Source organism: Homo sapiens, chromosome 12, assembly GCF_000001405.40.
Source record: "Homo sapiens chromosome 12, GRCh38.p14 Primary Assembly".
In the NCBI taxonomy this organism is placed as follows: Eukaryota; Metazoa; Chordata; class Mammalia; order Primates; family Hominidae; genus Homo; species Homo sapiens.
In genome coordinates, this window is record NC_000012.12 from 14,138,020 (window position 1) to 14,152,768 (window position 14,749).

General features: G+C 43.7%; 1 annotated feature.

Moving 5' to 3' along the window:
- Nucleotides 13,440–14,028: an enhancer, noted in NCBI's record as "OCT4-NANOG hESC enhancer chr12:14304393-14304981 (GRCh37/hg19 assembly coordinates)". NCBI's record gives its function as "activates a minimal SCP1, AML or CMV promoter by ChIP-STARR-seq in primed H9 embryonic stem cells {active_cell/tissue: H9 hESC(primed)}" and the evidence as "EXISTENCE:reporter gene assay evidence [ECO:0000049][PMID:30033119]".

The following is a 14,749-nucleotide window of genomic DNA, read 5'->3' on the forward strand; positions in this document are numbered from 1 at the left end:
GGGGTATCAGTGATAATAGGCTAGTCATAGGTCAGTCATTGCACAGATACACTCATCATCCTGGGAAGGCCTCGGATGTGCCTGGAACGACCGATGTGAGTCATGAAGGCCCCCTTGGAAGACCACATCCAACCCCATACTTCTCACCTGGACTGTGACTTAAGCAAAGTCCTCCTGAAGACCAGAGAGATGATCTACCATGAGTGTGCTCCGTCGGAAAACACCCAAATCCTTAAGGACATACAACCTCTTCCTGGGACCCCACATCCACCCTTGCTCTGGGGGTGGCCTAAATGAGGGTGAAGACTCAGCTAGAAGAATAAGGGGCAGCAAACATACCTGCTTGCTACAAAAGAAAAGAGAGCAGAGAGTCAACACTCAATCTTGTTTCCTGACATCACCTGAGTCTGTAACTCCATCGGAGGATTTAGGGGGCAAAAATTAAACTCTCAAAAATGATTTTAAAGATTTTAACCTGTAATTTAAAGAGTAAACATTTGTCATCCTGTTTTGGGTTGCACTGTGTCACAAACCAGAAACAAATAAAATTTTCAAACCAGCAGCTAACTTTAGCACGGTTGAGCCGGGACCATCCACAGTGAGAGAGGCTGCCAGCACAGACAGTACCCTCTGCTGGGCAAAAGGGTCCCTACAGCCCCTCTTAGCAGGGCTAAAGCTGTGTGTAACAGGGTGACCCTCCAAGCTGCCCTGGCCCCCAAAGCCGAATAGCCCATGGGAGTGTCATGGCTAATTTTCCATCTTCGGATATGAGCTCAAGAAATATACATGGCCGGGCGTGCTGGCTCACACCTGTAATTCCAGAACTTTGGGAGGCTGAGGCAGGTGGATCACTTGAGGTCAGGAGTTTGAGACCAGCCTGACCAACATGTAGAAACCTTGTCTCTACTAAAAATACAAAAAATAATAATAATAATAATTAGCAGGGCATCGTGGCAGGTGACTGTAATCCCAGCTACCCAGGAGGCTGAGGCACGAGAATCACTTGAACCCAGGAGGCAGAGGTTGCAGTGAGCTGAGATCGCACCACTGCACTCCAGCCTGGGAGATAGAGTTAGACTCAGTCTCAAAAAAAAAAGAAAGAAAAGAAAAGAAAAGAAAAAAGAGAAGAGAAGAGAAAACAGAAAAGAAAAATGCTTGAGAAAAAGCAAACACCAGAAAGCCAGAGCAGGTGGGAAAGAACAAAAGGCATTTTTCTGCTTCTCTCCACTTTTTACCAACTGCTGCTCACAGCACTTTCTGCTGAAATGTTATTGCTGCTAAGGTGTCAGCAGATGAGAGACAAGTTTCTGCCTTCCCTTGAGACATCTGGATTTCCAAAGCAGGCTTTTGAAAGCTAAAAAGTTTTCAAGCCCCAAATGAGAATGGGTTTGGATTTATTCAAAAAAGGACCATACACATGGGAGAGAGATTTTCCTGGCACACTTCAAACCACATTTTCCAGGAAAGGAAGACTTTCAAGTAGCTCTGCTCAGGTCAGACTTAGGGATACGGGATACTCAAGGGATAGCATAGGATAGCCTGGGCAGAGTAGGGGGGTCGGGGGACATCCCTGTCTTCAACTGAAATGCAAGAATATGTTATAGAAGAACGATCACTATTGGGAAAAGGATGGTTTCATCTAATGTATTTGAAATTATATGAAGGGTTGGTTGATTCCACTTGACAACTATGTATGGAGATCCTCTTAGGAGCTATACTGTGAGATACTAAAGTATACAAAAATTACTAAGACACAATGCCTACCCTCAAGGTGCTCAGTCTGGCAGAGGAGATAAACATGGAAATACCAATGCATTGAGGCCCATACTATACTAGCTTTATGTTCAAAGTGCCATCACCCAAGAAGAAAGAGTGGAGGAGGCCTTTTCAAACATAAGTATAGAAGAGAGATCTTGACTTTAAAAATGCTAATCTCTCATATAAAAGTTTTTAATGAGGCTAGTGCTAGATAAGGGAAAGAAACGGAGAAATGAAGCAAAAATGAGACCTGTAAATTAAGTAAGACCTATTGCAAAAGAATTTTTCCTTTTGCTTTTTAAACTTGCAGCCATTTCAGATGCATAATTATTAACTGTGTCACAAGAATAAAAAAATAAACAGAGCATGGAAGATGATAGTGCACATAAATATTAGATCTTAATATTCATGAAACCTTGGCCATTCACTACATTTAGGGTTAGGGCCAGGAAACCAGAAGGTGAACAGAAAGAGAAAATTGTAATATAGAAGGAAAATCAGATGAAAGCATTACCAAATATTTCAATAAAAGTGGAACTAAGGCCAAATAGGACAAAAGGCAGAGCTGCAGAGGCAGATGATTTATTAACAGAGCTACTAAATTCTGTGTCAAGGGTAATTTCAAGTTACAAAGACTGAAGCTAAGAAAGAATGAAGTAGAAAGTCCAGAGAATTGGGAGTTTAGAGACCAGATTCTAGACTTAGCTGCACTGCTGACAAATAAGGGGACCTCTGTAGACCTTGGTTTCCACATCTGTAAAAAGATAAGGTAGACCGGGTGCAGTGGCTCACGCCTGTAATCCCAGCACTTTGGGAGGCTGAGGCAAGCAGATCACTTGAGGGCACGAGTTCAAGACCAGCCTGGCCAATATGGCAAAACCCGGCCTCTACTAAAAACACAAAAATTAGCCAGGGCATAGTGGCACACACCTATAATCCCAGCTACTCGGGAGGCTGAGGCAGGAGAATTGCTTGAACTTAAGAGGCAGAGGTTGCAGTCAGCCGAGATTGTACCACTACACTCCAGCCTGGGAGACAAAAAAAAAAAAAAAAAGATATACTAGAGGCTCTTTAAGTTTCCTTGCATCTCATCGGAAAAAAAAGAGCTGGCTGGGCGCAGTGGCTCATGTCTGTAATTTTAGCACTTTGGGAGGCTGAGGCAGGCAGATTGCCTGAGCTCAGGAGTTCGAGACCAGCCTGGTCAACATGGTGAAACCCCGTCTCTACTAAAATACAAAAGAAATTAGCCAGGCATGGTGACTTGCGCCTGTAGTCCCAGCTACTTGGGAGGCTGAGGCAGGAGAATGGCGTGAACCCAGGAGGCAGAGATTGCAATGAGCCGAGATTGCGCCACTGCACTCCACTTTGGGTGACAGAGCGAAACTCCATCTCAAAAAAAAAAAGAGCTGAAACATGGATAACATATAGCACCCATTCATTCATGTCAACAAATATTGGGCACACATATAGCATGTTCCTGGCATATAAGGACATCATGGAGAATAAGGAGTTTATACTCTGTCAGGGAAGACAATCATAGGAGACAAGAAAGGGTAAGAACAGTACTTGGGAATATTTTCAATTCAGTTATTGAACACTGTGGTAGCAGCCTCCAAGATGGCCCCCAATAATCCTTGTCTCAAGTATTCACGTCCCTGTGTAATTTGCACCCACACTGTACCAAGGTTGTTCTCTATGATTGACAGTATACAGCACAAATAATGGCAGATCACTTCCAAGATTCTTAGATTATAAAAGACTGCAGCCTCAGTCTTCAGTACCCTATCCCCATCCATCTGTATCTGCATCTGTATGTCTATGTCTATGTCTATCCCCATCTCTATCTCCATCTCTCTTGGATCGCCTGCTGTTTTGACTTACGTTTGATGCTCTTTTCACTATACTGCATTGACTCTTTAAAATGAATTAATTTCATAGATAAATAAGGTTCAAGTGGATTAAGTAATTTGTTCAAGATTCTATAGCAAGTAGCTGAGCCTCTGCACTAACCTATCAAACACAACTCCATTGTTTAGGATAATCTTTTTCCTTCTGTCAAACTTCACTGACCTTGAGATAATTAGCTCAATGAACATTAAAAGAAACCAGAGCTGTCCTTGAAAGGTAAGCTGGGGTGTTTGCCTCAGGTCTTCCAATTCGAGGTGAGTGCTATATCAGTGATTCATACTTAGTGATCTATTCATCCATTTACTCAACAAGTATTTTTTAACACCCATTTAAGCACAGTGGGTTGTAAGAAATACAAAATGCTGAGATTTATTAATCTAATCAGGAATAAAAGGTGAATGTCATGAAAAATTAGAATAAGATCATTATATGTCTGCCTGCTGAACGAATGATGTGAACAGTATATACAGTAAGCATTTAAAAAGAATCATAGAACCTTAAAAAATGAAAGAATAAAGAAAATCCACTGTTTTCCGGAAAAATCATACCACACTCTCAGGCAATGGAATCTAGACTTAGAAACCCTGACTTTTTTTTTGTTTCCATTCATATTTTAGATTCAGGAGGTCCATGTGCAGGTTTGTTACAGGGTATATTGTGCGGTGCTGAGGTTTGGGCTTCCATTGATCCTGTCACTCAGACAGTGAACATACCACCCAATAGAAAGTTTTTCACGCTTTGCCCCCTTCCCTATCTCCCTCCTTTTGGAGTCCTCAGTGTCAGTTGTTCCCATCTTTATGTCCATGTGAATCCAAGATTTAGCTCCCACTAATAAGAGACCCGGACTCTTATTCCCTCAAAGTTACTTTCTCTCATAGGGATAGCCCATCAGTTACCATTACGAATACTACCAGACCCCAGGAGACACTGCTTTCTCCTTTAATATTTTGGCTGTGACTTGGTCATCAGGCTAAAGAATTTAAACTCTGATTCCATAATTGTTGAAAGTTTTTGAGCTAAATTCACAACAGGGATGAGAACTGAGGTGTCAGAGGCAGGGGGATTGACGTCAACACCCCCAGCTCTCACCGGGCCAGCAGGGCAGGACCACCACCTGGTGACAGGCACAGATGGGCAGCAGAGTCCTCCAGAGAGAGAGTGGGGCAGGGCACTAGAAGGGGCTGTGAGCGTTGCAGTGCTTGACTGACTGGCAAGGACTTTTTCATGCCCAGCTTCAAGAGACCCTGTTTTTATTTATTTATTTTATTTTATTTTATTTTATTTATTTTTTTTTTATGGAGTCTTGCTCTGTCTGTCACCCAGGCTGGAGTGCAATGGTGCAATCCCAGCTCACTGCAACCTCCGCCTTCCGGGTTCAAGTGATTCTCCTGCCTCAACCCCTGGAGTAGCTATGATTACAGGCGCATGCCACCACGCCTGGTTAATTTTTTTATTTTTAGCAGAGACGAGGTTTCACCATTGTTGGCCAGGCTGGTCTCGAACTCCTGACCTCAAGTGATCCAATCCACCTGCCTTGGCCTCCCAAAGTGCTGGGTTTATAGGCGTGAGCCACTGTGCCCGGCCAAGACCCTTTTTTAGCTTCATGAAGAGCAGAGAAAAATGCAGGTGTTTTAAGAAGATTGATATGGCCCTAGGTTCTCAATATTTTTAGCTTTCTGGCCCTCTGGTGTCATGAAGTCACAGTAAAGATAACAGAAACTACCTACTTTCAGCATATGCTGATTTTCACAGAGGATTGTGAGAAATGGACTGCAAAAGTAAAAAGGGAAAATTCCAAGCAGGAATGAAAAAAATATTTGAATCTATGCATGTTTTTCAAGTCAGGAGGTAGACAAGGGCTCCTTTTTACCCCTAGAGGCCCCACAGGCACCTTGAGTTTACTGTGCTCCAGAGTGTTGGTTTTCTCCTTAGTACCTGTCCTTCCTTTTACATTCTGTGATATGGTGAATGACATCACCATCTACGCACTTAGGCCCAAATCCAAGGAGCAATTCTCTCTACCTCTTCTTCCTCCTGACCCTACAATCAGTGACTATATTGTAAATTCTGCTTCCTGAGTATCTCTCTAGTCTATGTCCTCACCTTCTTATTTACTATGTGAGTCTTGGTGAAAACTCTCATTCTCTCTACCCCAGATCGAACAGTTCCTTTAAATGGATGGGTATTTCTCAAAGATAATGTATTAGTCCCTTCTCACACTGCTAATAAAGACATACCTGAGACTGTGTAATTTATAAAGGAAAGAGGTTTAATGAACTCCCAGTTCCACATGGCTGGGGAGGCCTCACAATCATGGACAAAGACGAAGGAAGAGCAAAGGGATGTCATACATGGCAGCAGGCAAAGAGAGAGCTTGTGCAGGGGAATTCCCATTTATAAAACCATCAGATCTCATGAGATTTATTCACTACCACGAGAACAGTATGGAGAAACCACTCCCATGGTTCAATTATCTCCACCTGGCCCTGCCCTTGACACATGGGGATTATTACAATTCATGGTGAGATTTGGGTGGGGACACAGCCAAACCATATCATTCCACCCCTGGGCCCCTCCTAAATCTCATGTGCTCACATTTCAAAACCAATCATGCCTTCCCAACAGTCCCTTATAGTCTTAACACATTTCAGCATTAACTCAAAAGTCCACAATCCAAAGTCTCATCTGAGACAAGGCAAGTTCCTTCCACCTATGGGCCTGTAAAATCAAAAGCAAGTTAGTTACTTCCTAAATACAGTGGGGGTACAGGCATTGGGTAAGTACACCCATTCCAAATGGGAGAAATTGGTCAAAACAAAGGGCTACAGACCCCAGGCAAGTCTGAAATCCAGTGGGGCAGTCAAATCCTAAAGCTCCAAAATGATCTCCTTTGATTTCATGTCTCACATCCAGGTAATGCTGATGTAAGAGGTGGGTTTCCACAGTCTTGGGCAGCTCCACTCCTGTGGCTTTACAGGGTACAGCCCTGTTTTCAGCTGCTTTCACAGGCTGGCATTGTGTGTCTGCAGCTTTTCCAGGCACACAGTACAAGCCGTCAGTGGATCTACCATTCTGGGGTCTGGAGGATGGTGGCCTTCTTCTCACAGCTCCACTTGGCAGTGCCCCAGTGGGGACTCTGTGTGGGGTCTCCCACCCAACATTTCCCTTCCACACTGCCTTAGCAGAGTTTTTCCATGAGGGCTCCACCGCTGCAGCAAACATCTGTCTGGAGATACAGGCATTTCCATACATCCTCTGAAATCTAGGCAAAGGTTCCCAAACCTCAATTCTTGACTTCTGTGCATTTGTAGGCTCAACACCATGTGGAAGCTGCCAAAGCTTGGGGCTTGCACCTGCTGAAGCCACAGGCCAAGCTGTTCTTTGGCCCCTTTTAGCCATGACTGGGATGCAGGGCACCAAGTCCAAGACTACACAAAGCAGCAAGGCCCTGGGCCTGGCCCAGGAAACCACTTTTCCCTCCTAAGACTCCAGGCCTGTGAAGAGAGGGGCTGCCATGACGACCTCTGACATGCCTTGGAGACATTTTCCCCATGGTCTTGGTGATTAACATTTGGCTCCTCATTACTTATGCAAATTTCTGCAGCTATCTTAAATTTCTCCTCAGAAAATGGGTTTTTCTTTTCTACCACATCATCAGGCTACACATTTTCTGAACGTTTATGCTCTGCTTCTCTTTGTGAATATAGAAAGCTGAATGCTTTTAACAGCACCCAGGTCACCTCTTGAAGGCTCTGCTGCTTAGAAATCTCTTCTGCCAGATGCCCTAAATCAGCTCTCTCAAGTTCAAAGTTCCACAGATCTCTGGGGCAGGGGCAAAATGCCATCAGTCTCTTGCTAAAACATAGCAAGTCTTGCTAAAACATGCCTCGTCTCCATCTGAGACCACCTCAGCCTGGACTTTATTGTCCATATCACTATCAGCATTTTGGTCAAAACCATTCAACAATTGCTAGGAAGTTTTTTCAAACTTTCCCTCTAAACCATTCCAACCTCTGCCTGTTACCCAGTTCCAAAGTCGCTTCCACATTTTCAGGTATCTTTATAGTAGTGCCCCACTCCTGGCACCAATTTACTGTGTTAGTCTGTTCTCATGATGCTAATAAAGACATACATGAGACTGGGTAATTTATAAGGGAAAGAGGTTTAATGGACTCACAGTTCCACAGGACGGGGAGGCCTCACAATAAGGGAGGAAGATGAACGCGGAGCAAAGGGATGTCTTACATGGTGACAGGCAAAGAGAAAACTTGTGCAGGGGAACTCCCATTTATGAAACCATCAAATCTCATGAGATTTATTCACTACCACGAGAACAGTATGGCAGAAACTGCCCCCATGATTCTGTTATTTCCACCTGGCTCCACCCTGGACACATGGGGATTATTACAGTTTAAGATGAGATTTGAGTGGTGACACAAACCATATCAGACACTGTTCCATGATTGTATCAGTCAGCATCCAGCAGGAAGCTGGCTACGCATGCAGAGGTGACACTTGAAGACATTTGAATAAATAAATTATTTTCAAAGGTGTGGGCTGGTACAGGAACCAGCAAAGGATAGTGATGCACCCCTAGATTAGCAATAGCAGGAAGTCATTGCCACTGTGAGGTCTGAAGGGGCAGAGGAAGGAGAGAACTATGGCTATAGAATCTAGAGTGAGCTGTAGCTATAGAAATGGGACCTCTCATTTTCATTACCAAAAATGATAAGTGTGTGAGGTAGCACGTGTTAATTAGCTCAATTTAGCCACTCCATAATGTATACATATTTCAAAATAACATATTGTACACAATTAATATAGATAACTTTCATTTGTCAAATAAAAAACTAAAAATAATGAACAAATGAAAAAAGGGACTTCCTAACATGAATTATGACCTCAGGTAGAGCCACTGGCAAACTGAGGCCCAACTGAAGAGGGTTAGAAATGTTCTAGGCCAGTCATGGTGGATCACACCTGTAATCCCAGCACTTTGGGAGGCTGAGGTGAGAGAATCCCTTGAGCGCAAAAGTTCGAGACCAGCCTGGGCAATATAGTGAAACTTTGTTTCTACACAAAATTTTTAAAATTATCCAGGTTTAGTGGTGCATGCCTGCAGTCCCAGCTACTCTGGAGGCTTAGATGGGAGAATGGCTTGAGCCCAGGAAGCAGAGGCTACAGTGAGCTATGATTGTGTCATTGCACTCCACTCCACCCTGAGTGACAGAGTGAGGCCCTGTTGACAAAAATTTTTTAAAAAGGAAAGAAAAACAGATAGGAAGAAAATTTTCTGTGCTGTCTTTCTTCCTACCTCTGATCTCCTCCTGGTTTCCCCCATTGGCTGAACCCAACAAGAAGGGAGCAGGCAAGAGAGTCAAGCTGGGACATTTCCAGAAGGTCAGCCTCCTGGAGTCAGGGTAGAGAAAGGTGGGGATCAAACCCAGATGGACAAAAGGAGAATATCCACAACAAAGGCATTTCACAGGACCCATTTGCACATTAAAATATTTTAAGAGACCTCTGGCAAAGAAACCTCTTCAAATTTATTTACCCAGTGTTTTTCTGATCTTTCTGAATTTAATCTTGCTCAGCTGCATCTACTTCCTAAATGCCACCACGTATGACTTCTTAAAGCACAAATCTTAGCAAGTTATTTCTCTGCTCAAACATCTGTCGAAGGTTCCCCATTACCATAAAATGGACGCCTCTCCCTGACCCTCATACCATCGCCCACCTAACATACACACATACCAGACCATCACTGACTCCTAATTTATACTCCAGGCTGACTGAGCTGCTTAGGGTTCCCTGTTTCATGACCCCATGCGGTCCTTCCACCTAGAATGCCCCAGTGATCCCAATGCCTGCATTAATATGATCAAGTGGACCCTTTTCATAAAACCTTTTCCAATGAACTAGACTGGATGACACTTATTTTTATGCTCCTGCGGTACTTCTTTAGGCTTGCAACTGGTCTATCATACAGTAGTAACTCTGTTTGATTTTTATCTCCTTGATGAGGCTGAAGAATGTCTTGAGGTCAGGCTCAGTGGGTAACACTGCTTTGTATCCCTGCTGCTCAGCTCAATGCCCAGCAAACAATAGAGGCCCAGGGAATGTTGGTTGACTTGAGTTCTTCCTCTGTGTGAGAGCCATATGGGTGGTAAGCAAGCAGAAGTGAGATCTTTCCAGAACACACCCCCGAGTCATGAGCAGAGGGGAGACCAAAAATGTCTGCACCTTGGACTCCTTGTGTTTGGTTCTATTATTCCTACTCATAGACGCTGAAGTGACTGCTAGGAAAAAAATAATAAGATGTGAGGCCGGGCGCGGTGGCTCACCCCTGTAATCCCAGCACTTTGGGAGGCCGAGGCGGGTGGATCACCAGGTCAGGAGTTCAAGACAAGCCTGGCCAACATGGTAAAACCCCATCTCTACTAAAAACACAAAAAATTAGCCGGGCGCAGTGGCAGACGCCTGTAGTCCCAGCTACTCGGGAGGCTGAGGCAGGAGAATCGCTTGAACTCGGAGGGCGGAGGTTGCAGTGAGCCGAGATCGCACCACTGCATTCCAGCCTGGGCAACAGAGTGAGACTCCATCTCAAAAAAAAAATATTCAAGTAATTGTCACAACACATAGGGAACTTACTTCTTGAATAACTCCTAAATACCTGCCTGCAAACACCAATACCAAAAATGGTGACAGGGACTCCCCTCAAATAGTTCAGAACACAAGTGCCTTGAAGAGCTATTGTGTTTTCATAGGTCCTGCCCCTTGCCTGTCTGTGACTGTCTTGCATTAGGCTAATTATAAATTTAGATTTCCCAGTTAGGTCTATACCATGAAATAACCAGCCCACAGAATAAAACTCGGGTCCAAATTCTTCCAGGTGTTCCTCTGGAAGTAAGACTGGCCTGTTAACAGACACAATCCCAGACACCTTCAGAAGTGGCAGGGGAACTCCAGCCAGCTGCAGTACCACTGACCTCATTGCAGTAGGCTGAGTGATGGGAAAAGCACTGGATTACAAATCAGATGGAAAAAGGTGAGGGGAATGCTTTCAATCCTAACTCTACCCCTTTACCAACTGGGTGGCCAAGTTACTCAATGCCTTTAAGTCAGTTTCCCCATCTGCAAAATAAGAGTAAAACCCACCTCACACGGTTATTACCAGGATTTAATGAGATAGCACGGGATGGAGATTAGCAGAGACCTGATAAATTTGTGTTTCTGTTTCTACTACCTTAATTATCTCTTCTTTGAAGAGGCTGCCTTTCTAATTTTGGAAGCAGGCAGGTGACTTGGATGGGTGCAGTGAGGTATGCTACCTTGTTTGTTTAAATTTTAAAAAAAAATTAATTTCAAAGCTTCCTTATGGCAATCGTGTGACAGAAATAAAACTAGGCAGTTGTTGCTATGCGACATCAGTAGCTTGCCGAGGGACTGGATATATCTTTGCTGTTACTTATCTTTAGTAGAATCTTGAGCAACATTTTTCTGACTACCCAATGTTATCCTGTTCTCATTATGTAAAAAAACAGTTGAGATGGGAAATTGGGGAGGAAGTCCTGCCCTGAGGTTCACTGGATAACGGCTGGTCCACAGACACCTTAGTACAAGACTTTGTGTGTCCTCTTTCCATTTTTGGTTCTTTTTCCTTAATCTGTTTCCCCCCATTTTCTTCGCTTTTATAAAAGAAAATATTGGGGTTTTTTAGACCTTTTTCATTCTGGCTGGAGTGCAGTGGCACGATCTTGGCTCACTGCAACCTCCACCTCCCAGGTTCAAGAGATTATCCTGCCCCAGCCTCCCCAGTAGCTGGGCTTACAGGTGCCTGCCACCACGCCCAGCTAATTTTTTATATTTTTAGTAGAGACTAAACTAATTTTTTATATTTTTAGTAGAGACTAAACACTATGTTGGCCAGGCTGGTGTCAAACTCCTGACCTCGTGATCCGCCCACCTTGGCCTCCCAAAGTGCTGGGATCACAGGCGTGAGCCACCGCGCCCGGAATCTAGGCCTTTCCTTGATGGTGTCTTTCTCAGTTTTGGTTGGGTGTTGGACCTTGACCCTTTTAAAGCAACAAATATTAGGATTTATCTAAAAATTGGATTCATAGCTAGTCCATCCAATAAATGTCTCTCTCTACTTTTCACTTAACAAAAGACATGACAAAGTTCATATAAATGTTTTTTGTGAAATATTTAACTTCATGGTCTTGGGTTATTCTCATCTTCACTCGTGTGCTGGTGTACAATCTTCATACTTCATAGTTTCTTCTAACACATTCCTTTCTTTGAAAAAAAAAAAAAAAAAAAAACCCTGGCCAACATGGTAAAACCCATCTCTATCAAAAATTAGCCAAACGTGGTGGTGCACACCTGTGGTTCCAGCTACTCAGGAGGCTGAGGCTTGAGGATCACTTGAACCCGGGAAGCAGAGGTTGCAATGAGTCCAGATCGTGCCACTGCACTCCAGCCCTCCAGCCTGGGCAATACAGTGAGAACCTCTCTCAAAAACAAACAAACAAAACTTTAACTGCATTAAAAACAAATAAGTCTGCAGTAAAACTCCTAAATGTGTCTTGTCCCTAACTCCTCCCCTTTGTCCATGTCCCCTTTTCAATCCAGAGCTCTTACCAATTCTGTCCTTCCTACTCCTCTCTGCCGGCTCTTCTGCTCTCATCCAAGTACATGCTTGAGTTCACCTGACCCTTCTGCACTTTTCCATTCTCAATTCACTGGCAACAGTGTGTTGAAATTCTAAGCAAGTGCAGAAAAAGAGTGCACAAGAAATCTAATGGGGGACATTCTAAAGGAGTCTGTGACCAGGTTTGAGGAAAAAGTCCCACTCAGGGTTAGAAAGCATCATGGGGGAGGGGTGAGCATTCTGAAGAAGGTGTGTTTGAGCTGGGAGGACTTACTCTGTGCTGCGAGAAGTGACTAGACAATAACAACACAATATTCTAATTTTGAAGGGAGCCCCAGGGCTTTTGTGCTGATACTTGTCCTACCCAACCCCCCCCCAACCCCATCTCCAGCCTGTGTTTCTACGTTGGTCTTCTGCTCCAGCCAAAAGTATTTGCCTTGGCTTGAACTCACCCAGCTTTTCAGCATCAACTATGTAAAAGAGAAATGGTCAGAATGGAGTGGGATCCCTGAGAATATCTACTCTAACTCCCAGACAGTCCAAAACCTGAAGCCAAGAGATGGGCTAAAGTCACATAGCTTGTTAGTGTTATCAGACAGAGGGACCCAGTGTCACAGGCCCTGGCTTTCCAGCCAATGGGCCAACTGGCCAAAAGAGAGGCCTGGAGGGTGGAACTTTAAAGTAAGGCCTGTTTTGTCTAATTTATGTCCAGTTGATGACTAGAGGATGATGATGTATTTTTAATCTCAGAGAGAGGGGAAGGAAGACCCAAATGGGCACAGTTCCAGGCTATAAGGATTGTTGGCAAACAGATTCCTGTTTCCCTTATCAGTATATGGTAGCAAACATGTATTGAGTACCTACTGTTTCTGCATCCGACACTGGGCACTGGCGCACAGAGATGCAGAGAATACAATTCTTGTCCAGCCCTCAAAACTCGTGGACTAATGGCTAAACAAATCTCAAATTAAATAGAGCAAAAGACAGAATCCTGGGGGAAACGCTTTTTTTTCCCCCCTGCACAAAGAAGGAATGATGAATCCACCCTGTGAGGAAGAAGAGGTCAGAGATGGTCTCACAGAAGAAGTAGTTTTGAGTGGGGTCTTAAAGGGGAGATATGGAAGTGGCAGAGAGAAGGCCAAGGGCTCCATGCAGCTGAGGCAGCCCATGTAAACAGAAGGCGGCCATAACCAGCAGGGCATCTGAGCTTTGTTTCCCGTGAGAGGTGCTGTGGCACATACAGTGTGTAGGAAAGAAATGGGGGGACTAGGATGAAAGGCTGGAAGCACAGAAAAGGGCTGGTACTGTAATGATAGGCCTCTGATTAATAAATCCATTTGCATATGTATATTCCACTTAGATAGGGAAACAATTTGCAGCCCTGGCATTTAGACCTGATCCTGTGAGCCACAGGGAGTAAAAAGGTTTTTAATAATAGGAGCATCATGACTGGGTTTGTGTGTTAGAAAGACTTTCAGATTTCCATGACTGACCCTTCAAATGCTAGGTGAAATGAGCGAATGTTGCATCTTTCTGCAGGTGAAAGAACTGTAAAAGCAAAGCTATATTTACAAAGAGGAATATTTCAAGAAGACTTAGCTTGTTATGTCTGTTGAATTCTAAATAACAATGGTTATGGGTTAGGATAAGACCTAAGGAGGAAGAGCACATCATCTTTTACTCTGCAGGAGCTCTTTGAAGCTCTGTGTAAGCTTCTAAACCCATTAAACCATACAAAGTCTTATTTATAATACACAGAGTGACCCCCTACCTCGACAGCCACATAATGGCAATCACTAACATCTGTATAACTCTCTGTATTCACAAAGCACTCTATTCCATTTCCTGAGTCCCACAAAAACTGGATAGATGCTATTTTTGTCTCCACTTTACAGATGAGAAAACTGAGAATTAGAAAGGCAAAGTGACTTGCCTAAGGTAAGAGCCTATCAGGGATGGAGTTGAGAATTGAACCTGAGTTCTCTGGCTCCAAATTCTGATGTTCTTTCCATTGCATCCTGCTGGTAATCAGTAGGGTGCCAGACATCACAGCCAGATCACCTACCTAGAAACAAGAGACTGTGTTCTGCAACAGAAACTGCCACCAGTTGACTGATGATCTTGGCCATGTCCTTATCCAACTAATAGGAATAATGACACCTGCTCACTGATGGTAAGGATGTTATAACACTTTGCAAAGTGTAGAGCACTATATAGGCATAATGCTCATCTGTATTCATTTAGCATAATAACCTGATCTCCAAAAGCCTAGAAACTATCCATATGTTAGAGCCGCTGACAAAATATTTTCACCCAAAAACTGCCACCGTCACATGGAGAAGGGAGATCAGAAATAGGTCATATCTGTAATGTGTTCCTCTTCCAGATTCCAAAAAAATTTAAAAAAAAAGAAGGTATACTTTTGCAGCC